Source organism: Homo sapiens, chromosome 18, assembly GCF_000001405.40.
Source record: "Homo sapiens chromosome 18, GRCh38.p14 Primary Assembly".
Taxonomy (NCBI): domain Eukaryota; kingdom Metazoa; phylum Chordata; class Mammalia; order Primates; family Hominidae; genus Homo; species Homo sapiens.
This window is the reverse complement of record NC_000018.10, coordinates 46,520,258-46,535,911: the sequence shown is the minus strand read 5'-3', so window position 1 is coordinate 46,535,911 and position 15,654 is coordinate 46,520,258. Positions and strand designations below refer to the sequence as shown.

Here is a 15,654-nt window from a genome sequence, read left to right as displayed (position 1 = left end):
AAAGGCCACATTGCTCTCTGAGGCGTTAGAACTGAGATGACCACCAGGCGCGGTGGCTCACGCCTGTAATGCCAGCACTTTGGGAGGCCGAGGTGGGTGGATCACCTGAGGTCAGGAGTTCAAGACCAGCCTGGCCAACATGGTGAAACCCTGTCTCTACTAAAAATACAAAATTTAGCTGGGCGTGGTGGCAGGCACCTGTAATCCCAGCTACTCCAGGGGCTGAGGCAGGAGAGAATTGCTTGAACCCAGGAGGTGGAGGTTGCCGTGAGCTGAGTTTGCGCCACTGCACTCCAGCCTGGGCAACAACAACAACAACAACAACAACAAAAACAGAGGCAGCCATCCTGTCCCATGCAACTTAGTGCTTAGAGGATTAAGGTCACAGAAGCCAGAGATTCTCCTCTGCATCCCATACCTGGAGGCTCCAGGTGGGAGAGAGAAGATGTTGTAGCTGCCCCATCCCCCGCCCAGTTCAGGGGCTCACCTGGCACACATGTATCAGCTTTTTTTTTTCAGGGGACTTTCATGCACACCATCGTGGTTAAGGCTCACCACCGCATTATGAGAAGGCCTGGCTGATTTTATCGTACCCATTTTGCAGCTAAGGAAACACTCTTTTGTCCTTGCAACCAATGCTTATTGAGTACCTAGGTCATGGGCACTGTTCTAGGTTTTTGGGATACAATGCAGAGCAAAATGGTGCCTGCCTTGTGGTTCTCAGTGGTGAAAGAGATGGTAGGTGTCACACAAATAAATGAAAACTTACAACTATGAGAAGTACTCCAAGGAGGGGCTCCACTATGCAACAAGAGCCTGTCATGAAGAAAATTAACTTTCTCGGGGAGGTTAAGGGCTTTCCTGAGGAAGTGATCATTGAGTTGAGACCTGGATTACGAGGTTGAGCAGGTATGGGTTAGGTAAAGAAGAGGAAGGCAGAGAGGCAAGCAAAGCATGTGCAAAGGCCCCGTGGCAAGGAATGTGGAGTTCTAGGGACTGGCATTTCTATGTGGGAGCACAGAAAAGGAGTGGCTGGAAGGTGGGGGACTCTTAGGGGCCTGGGGCCTTGAATAAGTCCACTTGGCAAGACAGGAGCATGGCACAGCCAGAACTCATCTTCTGCTACCCAGTTCAGTTCTCACACAGGGGATGAGTTGCTACAACAGTGAGCAGTGGCAGATGGGGAGCTGGGCTCCATGCTGAAGAGGGGTCCCCCTCCCAGAGAAGGTGGATTAAACCAAGTTCTGGAGTCAAGGCTGACTTTAAGAGAGGGGACATGAGGCATAAGCATGGCGTGTGTGTCAAGGACAATGGGAGCTGGCCTGGCTGGATAGTGGAGACGTATCAGGAGGAAATGCAAAGGGACTCAGGGTGGATGCCCTGGGGAAGCAGGATGTTGCCAAGGCCATACTTTCCTGGATCTTTCAGCTAACATTCAGTGCCTTATCTCCTTTCCAAAGTTAGAAGATGTGGGAGAAATCATTGAAAAAATTCGGATTGGCCATAATAACACGGGCATGAATCCTGGGTGGCACTGCTCTCACGTGGACATCCGCAGGCTCCTCCCGGATAAAGACGTGAGTTGTTGACTGGTCTGTCCTGCTGTTTCTTTTGTCCCTTTCCAGAGCAGGTTCAAGGCAAATTCCCTGTGAGGACCTACTGGCTAGATCAGCCTTATTGAGATAAAAATCTCATAATGAAAATTCACCCAGTTCACTCAGAGTGCAGAAACAAGCTCTGGTCCCAAGCAGAATTTTCTAGAACCTGGTTTCGTGGTTGAGGAGGAGGGTCTGGGCATGTTTCTCCTCCCCACCTCCAAGGCCATATTACTAGTGATTGACCAGAGTGCCCTTCCTGTAACTCAAGGTCAACTCACATAGAAAATCCACCCCAGACAACTTTAAAAACATTCTGAAGCCACAAAAGTATAAACCTAGGAGATAGATCTCAGCCATAGCTATGGATATGAATGAAGAGGGAGCAATTTTATTTTATTTTATTTTTTTGAGATGGAGTCTTGCTCCATCACCCAGGCTGGAGTGCAACAGTGCTCTGCCTTCTGGGTTCAAGCAATTCTCCCGCCTCAGCCTCCCAAGTAGCTAGGACTACAGGCGCACGCCACCACGCCCGACTAATTTTTATATTTTGTTAGTAGAGATGGGGTTTCACCATGTTGGCCAAGCTGGTCTTGAAATCCTGACATCAGGTAATCCACCCGCCTTGGCCTCTCAAAGTGCTGAGATTACAGGCATGAGCCACCATGCCCAGCCAGAGGGAGCAATTTTTAAATACAGAGCACCCCCCTCCTCTTACCCACTGAATCTGAGTCTCCAGGATGGAGTTCAGATACCTATTTTTAAGTGACCCTGGGAACTCCAGCCTTTCAGAGCCAAACTCTGATGTGGTTGTGCAAGTCTTTAAGACTGATCTACTGAAATTGGGGCAAGGGGCTCTCCTGTGGCTTTTACATTATTTATGGGGCCCCATGATCCTTGTCCTTGGTCTCCATGAGTATTGAGCTGATGAATCCCTGAAGTTGGCAGCTTTCACATTAAGGGCTAATTTTCCTTTTTCTGCCTCACCCCAGGGTGCAGAGACCTTGACTTTCCCATGCGATCGGTGGCTTGCCACCTCTGAGGATGACAAAAAGACCATTCGAGAACTGGTTCCATATGACATCTTCACTGAGAAATACATGAAAGATGGGTCCTTACGGCAAGTCTACAAGGAAGTAGAAGAGCCTCTGGACAGTAAGTGTGGTGTGGCCACCCTCATCACCATGGGAAGGCTCCAGGACCCTGGTCCTCCTGAGCACATGCCCTGTGCCAGGCTAAGCCTCTTCACCCAGGAGTAGGGTCTGTTGTTACCTCCACTCTCTAGAGAGGGCCACTGAGGCTCACAGAGGTTGCATAATCTGCCTAAGTGCACACAGCTAATAGATGGCCGAGCTAGTCTTCAAAGTCTCAGCTGTCTCACTCCAAGGTTTGTGCTAAAATTCTTCCCTGGTCTGACATTGGGATAATACATCCAGATAACGGGAATCCTGTTCCTGGTTTATCCTCGTCCCTGTTTTCTCCCTACTATTCATTTATTTGCTACCAATCACTGGCTTTGGCCTCTCTGCTCTTGCTGGACTTAGCTGTCCCAACTTAGTATGAATCAAGAAACCTTCTTGATTTATATGTAACTGGAACCATTGTGTATTTGTTCTCAGTAGTTTGGCATGGCTCTAGAATGTCCAAGGTCATGAATTTCTGGATGGGCTGGTTAACACGTCCATTCTTCATCAATGTGGTTTTCTCTGAAGGATTTGCATCAGACTGGCCACTCCTTGTACTTCCTCCTCCTTTGCTTTTGGTGATACCACCATATTCTAGTTCTCTTCCTACCTCTCTGAAGTGTTTAGAGTGCTGGTTTCTTTTCTCATGCTAGATAGTATTCCTCAAGGCTCAGTCCTCAGCCTTCTCTTCTCCTCTCTTTCTACATTGTATATGTGTACACATACAGACACACACACACGCACACTTTTCCCAGAACATATGGACAGAGTCATACCTCTGTTTTGACCAGCAATGGCATCGTCCATGTCAATCCCCATGTTATTCATGAGCCATTCAGCTCTGAATTATCTTGAGCTGTTTCAAAGTCAAATTCATTTGCAAAAAACAGACTTTCTACCCCTGATGATAGAAAAAGAATACAGTGGATCTCTCTAGCAGGGCAGCCTACACAGATCAAAGAAGCTCCAAGAGCTTGAAAATCCACCTTAAATTTGTTGTGTTGTCTTCTTGGAAAAACTGGAGTAAAATTTAAAATTCTGGGCCCCTTATGGAGACAGGAAGACAGGTCTTTCTGCCCACCAAGTGGATAAGACACCCAAAAGACAAAAGACAAACACCATCTTCCTTTTTTGTCACCAGAAGTAAAACAGCTATAGCTCTGCCTTTCCTTTAACCTGAGTTGTCGCCCAGAAATAAAAACGAGTGTTGCCTCAATAGTGTGACTCCCCTACTCCTATCCTTTTCTCCACATAGTCTTTGCTATTAAATCTGGGGATAACTTCCTTCTCAACTTGGACCCCAGAGGATGCCCTGGAATGCTGTCCCAGGAGAGCACTTGGGCTGTTCTGTGTGGATAACACACCACAAAACTCACTCTGAGCTCAGTGATGTTTCTAGGGAAACATCTCTCCATGGATGCACCGGGTGGCCTGGGTGGGACGGGGAGGGAGGAGGATCCAGAAATAGCTGGCTCTGACTGCACTACTGCATTGCTCAGCATTCAGAAGCTGAATCAGTTTTCCTAATTCCCAGAGGACTGGAGAAAGCAGAAAGGGGGAGTGAGGAGGCCATTTCATCCCAGCCCCTGGGGACACAGCATCCTGCTCTGGGACACAGGCTCCTAGAAAAGGTGTCCCTATAGGCCCATGCCACCTGTGATTAGCTCACATGTGGAGCAGGCCCAAATGCACAGCTAGAAAATGGATGAGGGGGAAAATGAGGGGGGAGACCGTCAACTGTTGTGTCTAAACTATGACAAGTTTCCTAATGTCACCGCAGGTCAGTATTAGCAAGACAAGCTTAGGTAACATTTAGACAATAAAGAGAGGATTTTCTTTATTAATGTAGTGTGTGAAATGCTGACAGGTTTTTGCACTGAGCTGAGTGGGGCAGAGTGGGGTGGGAGCAAGTGTGGCTGGTCCCTGGTTTCTGCCCCTGGCGGTGTCTCTGACCAGCCTCTGCAGGTCAACTCTCACAATGCACTCAGGAGCTTTGGAGGGTAGTGGCTTGGGCAGGACCACTGAGACAAGGAAGATGGTTGGGGAGAAGGTTTGCAAAAGGGACAGGGGTTGCAGGAGAGGGTAGAGTTTAGGTTTGAACATGTGAGTTTGCAATGTTGGAGTCTGGTCAACGTGGAGACGCCCTCTAGGTAATAAGTGTGCGGATCCGAAGCAAAGGAAGGACCTGGGTTGGAGGCAAAGACTCAGAGAACTCAAGGAAGTGCAAGATGAGAGCTGAGGAATATGGGTGGAACCTGGGAGGCCTTGGCATCCAAGGCATGGGTGGAAGATTAGGAAACCATAAAGCTACCCATGAAGGAGTGTCCAGCCACACAGAAGGAGAGCAGGAGGGAATAATGCTGCAGAACCCAGGGGAAAATAAGAAAATCATGGGAACCCTGCTGTGGGTGTCACTGTGTTCTACAGCCATGGGGACAAGCAACTCACATCACTTTACTTTTCTAAATTTAATTAAATGTGGTTCTGAGCCCACTTGCAAGGGCTGATAAGACAGGCCATCTCATTCACGGCAGGGAGGGGAATCCCCTTTTTGAGGGTCTTCTAGGAATCCTGAGGCTCACAGTAGAGGCCTGGCCCTTAGTCCAGGATGAGTGCCACTCCCAGCTGTGCTCGCTGTCACACAGTGTCACTACTGGCTCTCCACCAACACACAAGTATCATTTCTCTGGGTGGCCAGAAACACTCCTGCATGAATCTGGCTTTGTCAAAAGGCCCTCTGTTCTACCCTTGAGGCCCCCTTCAAGCTTCAAGTCTGTAAAGAAGCCCAGCTGTCACTTCCCTATAGGGTCCCTGTGTGCAGGTGAGGGGTCCCTGTGGCCCACGAATACTCCCGAATCCTCACTCCCTCCCAGGACAAGGGAAGTTAACCTTCCTTCCACTTTGGCCACCTCTGCCTTTCAGCTTCCATTTCTCACCTTGGGGATAATCCAGCCAAGTTCCCTCTTCCTTGGCCTGAAACTCAAAATCTCCAAAGACAGAGGATACACAGAGGGGCCAACCAATTTTTAGCCTTCATAAAAATGCAAGACTTGAGTCTCCCTGGTAAGGAGAAGGTTAGGAAAGGAGATGTTTTATTTTTCCTTAAATAAAAACAGCAGAACAAAAACAAGATACCATGCGTTTTTGTTTTTCGTAATAATTTTTAATAATTGTCACACCCATATTTACTGAGCCCTCCCTATGGGCCATAGGAGACCAAGGAGAGGGCGGCAGTCACAGTGGCTTCGGTGAGGAGTTGACCTGAACCGCTGGGGCAGGGGAGGGTGGCAGTGGGTTGGAGAATAAATGAACGTGAGGAAATGAACAGAGGGGAAACTGTTCTTTACAAAATATTTTCTTTCTGTGAACCACTGAGAAGGATCTCGTGTTGACACTGGTCACCCTCAAATGGGAAGGCATTTTATTGCCATGTATCATGGCAGGTAGATTTAGTGACCACAGTGTGGACACATCTCAGGTAGTTTCTGAGTCTTTCCCCATGTACACTGCAGGCAGCTATATGGGCAGATAGATCGTTTGAGGGGTGCTAGAAAAAAGTTTCTATTTTTGGGGTCTCATAGAGCCTACCTGGGTCTAGATCAGATGAGCACAGTTCCCACTGGAGAATCCACATGGATTTGAAGCTGAGTATGCATAATTGAGCAAACAAAAGGAAGGCATTAACCCCTTGAGGCCTAGGCCAGAAGCTTAGCACCTCCTACAAATCCAGTTCCTCAAGACCTAAAGCGCTGTCACCCTTTTCTTCCCTTTGTCTGTCTGTCTGTCCCACCACCTGCCCAGTTGTGCTGTACTCGGTGCAGATCTTCACAGGGAACATTCCTGGGGCAGGGACGGATGCCAAGGTGTACATCACCATCTATGGAGACCTCGGGGACACTGGGGAGCGATACCTTGGCAAGTCAGAGAACCGGACCAACAAGTTCGAGAGAGGAACGGTATGAGGGGCACACGGAGTTTACCCTCCTTCCCTCCTCTCCAGGCCCAGCGATCTAGGTGCCAGCTCTTCTTGGTTCCTGGGGACATCCAGGAACTCCATGGGGCATTGTGCACACTCATTTGGGCCTCTGCCCTTGCCCTTCCCTTGCAAGTGTGCCTTATTCCCCTCTCCTAGCTGATGCACCCACCCTGGATCCTGCATAGGGGATGAGGTGGAGCAGAAGGCCGGCCTTGGACAAGCAGGAGGCCTGCTGGAGCTCGAGGTTGTTGGCTGGATGGGGCTGGGTCATCTTCAGAAAATCCAGTTCACTGTGCATGGTTCATGAACGTGGAGGTGAACACTGCAGAATGGCAGGGGCTGTGCTGACAGAGACTTGAACTGTGGGGTGGAGAGGGGATCTGGAGGCCTGGTTCTGCTATCAACTCCTTATCTGCTTCAACTTCTCTGGCCTCAGTTTCCTCATCTGTAAATTGAAGGGTCAGATATGAATTGGCTAAATTGTGTTGTGTAGAGCCCCAGGTGGCTCCAAGGCCCTTGGGAGCGGTGGAGGCAGGTGCAGATGGACACCCCACTCCCTCCCAGGTGGATCCACTTTGACCTGGCCTGTTGATCACAGTGCCAGGCAAGCCGTCTGTTAAGCAAAGGGTTCTGTGGCTATAAAAAGGCTTGAAAACCACATGACTGGGTGATGTGTAAGGCTCTTCCAGCTCTGACAGACTGATTTTACAAAAACACAGGAGTCTCTAAGGGTGGGCTTTATTAAACTTCCTTTCTCGCAAGCTTGGCTCCCCTCTCCCCGCCTCTACTCCTCCCAGTCTGTGCCCTTTCTGTCATGCCCCCTGCCCCTCCCCGCCCTTGCTCCTCAGCCTCCTTTCCTTCTCCTCTCCATGCACTGAAATCTGCCTGAAATCCCCACAGGCCAGGCTATCTCCACAGGGAGATCAGGTTAAGGGGATTGGCTCCTAACCTGATCTGTGCTCTTGCCTGTGGCTGTGCATGTCTGGGGATTTCATACATCAGCCAATGGGTATTTATCAAGGGTCTCCTTAAACCTGACCCTCAGCCAGGCATATCCCTTAATATTGAACCACTCTACTAGTGAGGAGGATATTAGCCCTGGGATTAGAAAGGTGGGTGTCATCTAAGTGGGTCTGCAGCTGGCTGGTGACCCCGTGAGTCAGAGACTGTGGAAGGAGCCCCAGCCTGGCTGCCAGGTCTCCAGGAGTCAGACCCCCCAGCACTCCCATTCACTGCTTCACCAACCAGATAGAAACCATTTACCTCTAACTTCAGTTTACTGCATCTGAAGCAGGAATAGTAATATGATTGCTAATTAGACCTCTGGGCTGAAAAACAGGACAAGATGTAAGAGCATGTTGTACCAGGAAGAAATAATCTAAAACACACACATTCATGTTCCACAAGAGATCTAATTGTTCATTGCCCTTATAAAGTAGGTAGGAGGAGTCCTATCCTCCTCTTTCCATCTTGCAAAAATAGAATGCCAAAAAGGTCAAGTGATTTATGTGATTGTCCCTGACTCTACACTAGGGATATTATTTATCAGGTCCCCAGATGCTAGGGGCAGGTCACCTGAGCTCAGATCGTGGCTCTGACACTTACTAGCTGTGTGATCTTAGACAAGTTACTTAACATCTATGTGCCTCCTTTTCCTCCACCCTAAAAAAGAGTTAATTTTGAGTTACTGTGAAGGTCAACTGAATAAAAAATGTGAAGTGTCTAGAACCATGTCTGGCAGGCAGGTAGCTCTTTGTGCTGGATGTTGTCAAGTCTTGGGAAAGCTCACCTGTCCCCTGCCCTAGTTGACGCCTGGTGTTGATGCCTGGTAAATGCATTGTAAAAGCAGCAATGTACAGCATTCAGCTGAGAGGTCCATTTTTATGCATGGCTTTATTTACAGACTCTGGCAAAGAGTGGGCATTCAATAAATATGGATTAAGTAAATAAATGAATGGAAGCATAAATGAAGGTGATGCAAGCCATTCCCCTCTGCGTTCAGATTCCGTTTTTTTTTTTTTCCTCTCTCTCAGCAATTGTTATGTCACAAGAAAAAATCTTTGTCCCATTCTGCCCCATCCCTTTCTTCTGTTTTCCTCCAGTTTTGACGCCCCATCAGGGGAGCTGGACCAACTTCTGGCTCAGTTACTAACCATGTGACCTTAAGTTCACTGCTGAACATCTAGAAGCTTCCATTTCTCTGATCACTCCAGAATATGGAAGTCATCTTGGACACCCCTCTCCCTGTTGGAAACCCCTCCCCACCCACATCCAATCAATTGCCAGGTTCCAGAGTCTTCCTTCTAAATAACCTTAGATCAGCCAAGTCTGCCCTGTCTCCACTCAGCCCTGCCTCATCTCAGCTCACTCACTGAGCCAGCATGGTCTCTCTGCTCCAGGCCCTGCCATCCAACCCACCCTCCAGCTTCCTCAGTTAACCTGTCCAAAACTGACCAGTCACTCTTTCAGTGCAAGCCTGCAAAGGCTCCCCATGGGTCCCAGATCTGCCCTGAGTCCTTCATGGGATTTGTAGACCTTCATGGCCTACCCCCACTGGCCTGTTCAGAGTGCCCTCTGTAGACCACTGAGTGCAGTTTCCAGCATGCCCCACCCTCTCTTCTACCTCAGCATCTTTCCAAACATTTTCTGTGCTTACATGTACATGCACCCATAGAAAATAGGTAAGCCATTCCGTGGTATTACTGTTATACATAAAAGGCATCATGCTATATAAACACTGCTTTAACTTGCCCTTGGCGTGCATGGCTGCCTTGGAAATCTCTCTCTGCCAGGGTATTCAAACATAGCTGGAGGTGACTCTTCTCTATAGCCACTGCACACACAACTTTCTGCAGGAAAGGCTTTACCAGTTATTTAGCCACTCCCCAAGCACAGGACCCCAGATGGCTTCCAATTTTCCACTGTAAAAATTATCTGTGGTAAACATCCTTGTGCAATGTGAAGGTCTTCCCCCAGGACAGATGCAAACAAGTGGAATTGCTGTATCTCAGGGTGGGCCCATTCTTACTCTGGTGAACCCAGTGGATTGCCAGCACCCCAGGACTGCTCCCATCCACATCTGCTTTCGGCCACACACCACTGGCTGCTATTTACCTGCAGCTGCCTTGGCCATGGTCTTTCCCTACCTGAGCTGCCTGGAAAGCCCAGCCCCCCAGCTGCAGCTTAATGCTGACACCTGGAGACGTCTGTCTTCCTAGGCCTGGCTCTAGTCCTCACACAGGATGTTGTTCCCACCACCTGAGCTGGAATTACCCATCCCCTCCTCTTGCTGTCCTGGACTGTGGGGTCCTGGGGGCAGAGGGCATCCTATTCTATTCATCTCTGGATTCCTAGGGCTCAGCACAATGACTCACATGGCACCTGCACCCAGCAAATCTTTCAGAAGGAAAGTAGGTGTCCCTCAGTGTCACCTGTCCCCTCTCACCCTCCTCAGGCTCCCATCCTAACTTCCCACATTCAAACTCTGTCTTGGCCCCATCTCATTCAAAGCCTAGGATCCACACCTCACTGAGCTCCCCTCAAAGAATCAGCACACAAGAGTGGAATGTCCACTTGACTGAAGACAGACTCAGGGATACAGATTAGGGCCTTGTATCACAACCCCCACAAAACCCCCTTGAGCCTGCATCCCAGATGTTTGTCCCTGAGTCCCTCCACAGCCTTTCCTCCCCCAGAGCCTCACCTCTACTGCCTCCTCTCCTGCAGCCCAGACTTACTGGTTCATCTAACTCCCTCTCAGCATCTCTCAGGGAATTTCAAACCCCCTCCCGTTACTCAGAAGTTCATCTCTAGAAGAGCTTTTGCCCTCCGGTTGCCACAGCTGGACTTATCCCCAATGCTCAGCATAGCTAAGGAGTCTGGGAACAGGACCAGCTGACCACCCCTCCTCTGTCTCTGCCCATGACCTTCAGGTCCCAGCCCCCTTACACAGAGGAGGCTTCGAAACACCCACAGGCTTCTCCCAAAAGGAATGTGGTGAAGGCAGTTTTCTCCATGGCACCACACATATAAGTGGACTGCAAAATGGGACCACTGTGGATATGAGGCCTTGGACCCCACAGGCTCGGTGTTGGGGATTTGGGCCTGGAGGGCTCCCCAGCAAAGAAGGTCTGTTCAGTGCAGCAACTGAGGGGGAAGGAAGGTCCCAGAAGGGTGGGGCTGGAGTGGGTTGAGTGGGTGGCACACCCCCATATGAGTCCCCACATCTGGGCTCCCCAGGCTGACACCTTCATCATCGAGGCCGCTGACCTAGGCGTCATCTACAAGATCAAGCTCCGCCATGACAACTCCAAGTGGTGCGCAGACTGGTACGTGGAGAAGGTGGAGATCTGGAATGACACCAACGAGGACGAGTTCCTGTTCCTATGCGGGCGCTGGCTCTCCCTGAAGAAGGAGGATGGGCGACTCGAGAGGCTCTTTTACGAGAAGGTGAGCCAAGGGGTATATAGGGCCTGTGGCCATCCTCATGCCTAGGGGAGGTCCCTCGAGGTGGAGGTGCTGGAGCTGCAACTGCCAGTCCTGCTCTCCCACACAGGAGTACACTGGGGACCGCAGCAGCAACTGCAGCAGCCCTGCTGACTTCTGGGAGATCGCCCTGAGCTCCAAGATGGCCGATGTCGACATCAGCACAGTGACCGGGCCCATGGCTGACTACGTTCAAGAGGGCCCAAGTAAGCCAACCAGGGAGCTCTTTGGACGGGGGCCAGGCACATGGAAATGTTTTAAAGCAATTCTTGGATGAGCCATTCTTGAGCCCCACCATCACCGATGACATATCTAACACTTAGTCATTTACATAGTTTTCACACATATTACCTGTTTTATCCCCAGAACAACCCTGCAAGGTGAGAGGGCAGGGCTAAGCCCCCTTTGCAGATGGGGAAACAAAGGTTAAAGGAAGTTAGGGTGAGAATGAACATCCCTTACCTGTCACTAGAGCATCACACAAAGCACTCAGTCATGCAAACTTAAGGCATGATGTGGTGGTGAAGGCAGGGGAAGAAGTCCTGAGATGGTCATTTGGGGACTGAAGTTCCATTTCTGATTCTGAAAATAAAATGTGTGGCCTTGGACAAGCCAGTCTCTTGGCTTCAGTTTTTTCTTCCTCCATAAAACAATATCAGAGTTCCCTGGCAAGTTCTTTTTGCTAACCAGATTTTTGAGATAAGGCAGTTCTAAATTGCCTATCAAACATTTGAATGCACTACTTTCATAGTCAGTTCTCTTAAACATAAGAGTGTGACAACCATGCTATCCCCCTCCAGGAGGCCACATGGTGGATCTGTGGAGTCAGGCAGAGAAAGTCAGTCTGCTTGCAGTTTACCTTTTCACTCTGTAAATGAGTGATAGGACCACCAAGAAAGTACCTTTCCTTAAGCACTATGATCACCTGTGGAAAGGCTCCCCCTGTAAAGATAAAATAAGGCCATGTGCAAGTAATTCCAGCCAGGAAGAGACAGTTTGGAAACTTTTCAAAGAAATACAGATTGTATAACCTAAAATCCACTATGCCAGGGTAGTGTCTTCCAAGCTATTGAGAAAGATGAACCCGGAGAAGGGTTTCCAACTTGTATCAATTAGTAACTGCAAATGACAGAGACCTGGAAATGGTGACTTAAACAAATTAGGAATTTTTCTTTTCACTCACATAAAAGTCCAAAGGTAGGCCACCTGGGACTAATATAGCAGTTCCAGTGCAATCAAGGACCTAGGTTCCTTTAACCTGGTCATTCTGGCAACCTTATAAATGACCTAAATGTTGCCTATGGTTCCAAGATGAATGCTGGAGCTCCAGCCATCACATCCATATTCCAAGCAGAATGAATGGAAGGGTAAGGAAAAAAAGAGTACTCCTCCCAGTTGAGTCAGACCTTTTAAAGAAGATTTCCTGGCCAGGCGTGGTGGCTTATGCCTGTAATCCCAGCACTTTGGGAGGCCAAGGTGGGCAGATCACCTGAGGTCAAGAGTTTGAGACCAGCCTGACCAACATGGAGAAACCCCATCTGTACTAAAAATACAAAATTAGCTAGGTGTGGTGGTGCATGCCTGTAATCCCAGCTACTCAGGAGGCTGAGGGAGGAGAATCACTTGAACCTGGGAGGCAGAGGTTGCGGTGAGCCGAGATCGTGCCATTGCACTCCAGCCTGGGCAACAAGAGTGGAACTCCATCTCAAAAAAAAGAAAAAAAAAAAAGATTTCCCCAGAAACCTACCCAACAATGTCTCCTTCCATGTCATAACCACCCCAGCTGCAAGAAGAATGGATAGTTGGTGGGAAACTACAACTCTATGGACACTACCTGAGTAAGTTTTATGCTGATTAATCTGGTGTGTTTTGGAAATTGCTGTCTTCTAGGACTTTCATTCACTATGTGGCATATATGATACATTTTTATGTTCTTCTTCAAATTCCTTCTTTCTATGAGACCTTGCTTTTGCCAACAGCATTTTTGTTGACCATAGGGAGCTTTTTGGGCATATAATGCCTATACGTGGTGAGAGGTTATTTTTCTTACCCTCCTTCACATAATAGTGCTAGGTTCAAGTAGGATAATTGGTCAAAAGAGCTTTTAGAAGCTTGACACTCCAAACAAATGACAAGAATGCTGTCTTTGGTCTGTACATTGGGAGTTAGCAACTCCCTCAGTTCTTGGAGAGGAGACACACACCACAGATAACTTACCAGTCTGAAGGGCTCACTGCACTTTGTCTCTGAGCAAGGAGCTGAGATCAGTGCCCTCAGAGGTCACTTCCAAATCTGTGAGTCTATGAGGCAGTGCCTTGTCTATCTGGTCTGTTATGAACCTGAGCCCCGTGATCTCTTGCAGTTATTCCCTACTATGTGTCAGTCACCACTGGGAAGCACAAGGACGCGGCCACTGACAGCCGAGCCTTCATCTTTCTCATCGGGGAGGATGATGAACGTAGTAAGCGCATCTGGTTGGACTACCCCCGAGGGAAGAGGGGCTTCAGCCGTGGCTCTGTGGAGGAGTTCTACGTCGCAGGCTTGGATGTGGGCATCATCAAGAAAATAGAGGTGCTGGCTTCTCGGGGCCCCATGATAGTGACCACCCTAGGGATAGACAGAGCTGACCAGTTCCTGGGTGGGCGGGAGAGTGCAGGGTGGGAAGAACAGCCTACCTGCAGCACCCCTTAGAGCAGGTAGCAGAGAAGAACCAACTAGCCAGGTGACTTTGGGTGAGCCACCTGCCCCTCTGTGTGTCTGTCTTCCACCCACCCAGTGGGAATGTTCTGTGTATTAGTTTCTATGGCTGTGTAACAAATTATCACAAACTTAGTGCCTTAAAACAACACAAATGTATTATCTCACAGTTTCATGGGTCAGGAGTCTAGGTGTGAGTTAGTGGGGGTCCATCTTTGAGATCTCAGTGGGCTGAAATCAAGTTGCAGCCAGGGCTGCGATTTTATCTGGGGCTTGGGGTCATCTTCCAAGCTCACTGGTTGTTGGCAGAATCCATTTTCTTGGGGGTGTAGGACTGAGGACTTCATCTCTCAGCAGCCCACCATTCCCCACCATGAGGCCCTCTCCAAAACCTGGCTGTTTTCTTGTTCAATAGGAGACAACCTCTTCTGCTTCAAATATCTCCAACTTCTTCACCTCTGACATCTAGATATGCTTTTTTAAGGGCTCGCCTGATTAGGTCCAAACTACTCAAAGTCACCTAATTAGAGGCTGTAATTATATCTGCAAAATCTCTTCACCTTCATGGGAGGGACCTGGGCCAGCAAGTGCACAGCATACTGGGAAGAAGCACTGAGGGAGGGGGCTGGGCAGGGAGCACTTCCTTCCCAGTTGTGCCCAGATCGTCACAGATCAGGTGTGTCTCCTCCTAGCTGGGCCATGACGGGGCCTCCCCTGAGAGCTGCTGGCTGGTGGAAGAGTTGTGTTTGGCAGTGCCCACCCAGGGCACCAAGTACATGTTGAACTGTAACTGCTGGCTGGCCAAGGACAGAGGCGACGGCATCACCTCCCGTGTCTTCGACCTCTTGGATGCCATGGTGGTGAACATTGGGGTGAAGGTAGGGGGGGCACTGTGAGTGTGCAGTGCATGGCCAGGGCAGTGCAGGTTGAGGTGGGGAGCAGCAGGGGAGACAGAAGTGGAAGAAGTAGGAGACTCATCACTGGGGCATCCGCAGGCGCTGCAGCCTGGTGTGCTAGCCAGATGTACTTTGCTAGGAGCCGCAGACTGAACTCTCTTCTGGTCTGCTGCCGTGTGACCTTGGGCAAGTCATCTCATTTCTCTGGGCCTTGGTCTTCCCATACACTGCTTAGAAATAATGCATCCCTGCTACTCATGGCCTGTTCCATGTATGGTCTTGTTGAGAATTAATGAGATCACAATTCATGAAGAGCTTTGTGAGTAAGCAGCTCTATGTAGACAGGCAGGGTCATTGTTCACCAAAGGATCCACCATCAACAGCAGTAGAGTGGTGATAGGAAAGATGGCATCTGGGATACTGTGAATCTCTGAGTCTCACGGTGCAGCCAATGGTGTCCACACAATACCCTCCTTAACTGAAAAAGCCTGGAGGGCAAGAGGTCTGAGCTTCGGTCCTGGCTCCATCTCTAACTGGTCAAATGACCTGGGATAAATTATATAAACGCACAGGTCAGGCCAGGCAGGAGGCAGATGCCTGGTGCTAGGATCTGAGGACACACAGCCATTTGGTGGCCCAGAAGCCTCTGTTTCACCTGACCCTGTGGGTTTCTCTTTTTGGCTCATGGCTATGGGGTCAACAGAAGGCCCCAGCCCTTATCTCTGGTACTGAATCAAAACCAATGGGCTTCTTGGACCAGGTCAGAAGCTGTCCCACAAAGGTGAGAAGAAATCACCTGGACCTGAGTGTGCTCTGCCTAC

At 49.4% G+C, this 15,654-nt stretch overlaps 1 protein-coding gene across 18 annotated transcripts in view; it reads left to right on the top strand.

The window, feature by feature from the left end:
- The window catches only part of LOXHD1 (lipoxygenase homology PLAT domains 1), a 180,260-nt gene that overhangs the window by 121,309 nt on the left and 43,297 nt on the right, over nt 1-15,654 (top strand). For 13 of the 18 annotated variants that reach the window (NM_001145472.3, NM_001308013.2, NM_001384474.1 and 10 more), the window contains 7 exons: nt 1,461-1,577; nt 2,588-2,750; nt 6,581-6,735; nt 10,995-11,204; nt 11,311-11,446; nt 13,603-13,811; nt 14,630-14,815. In NM_001145472.3, the coding sequence (NP_001138944.1) occupies nt 1,461-1,577; nt 2,588-2,750; nt 6,581-6,735; nt 10,995-11,204; nt 11,311-11,446; nt 13,603-13,811; nt 14,630-14,815 (1,176 nt within the window). Of the gene's footprint in view, nt 1-1,460; nt 1,578-2,587; nt 2,751-6,580; nt 6,736-10,687; nt 10,884-10,994; nt 11,205-11,310; nt 11,447-13,602; nt 13,812-14,629; nt 14,816-14,865; nt 15,615-15,654 lie in introns of those variants that run through there. The other 5 variants (NM_144612.7, XM_006722391.4, XM_047437294.1 and 2 more) reach the window with 4 other exon arrangements.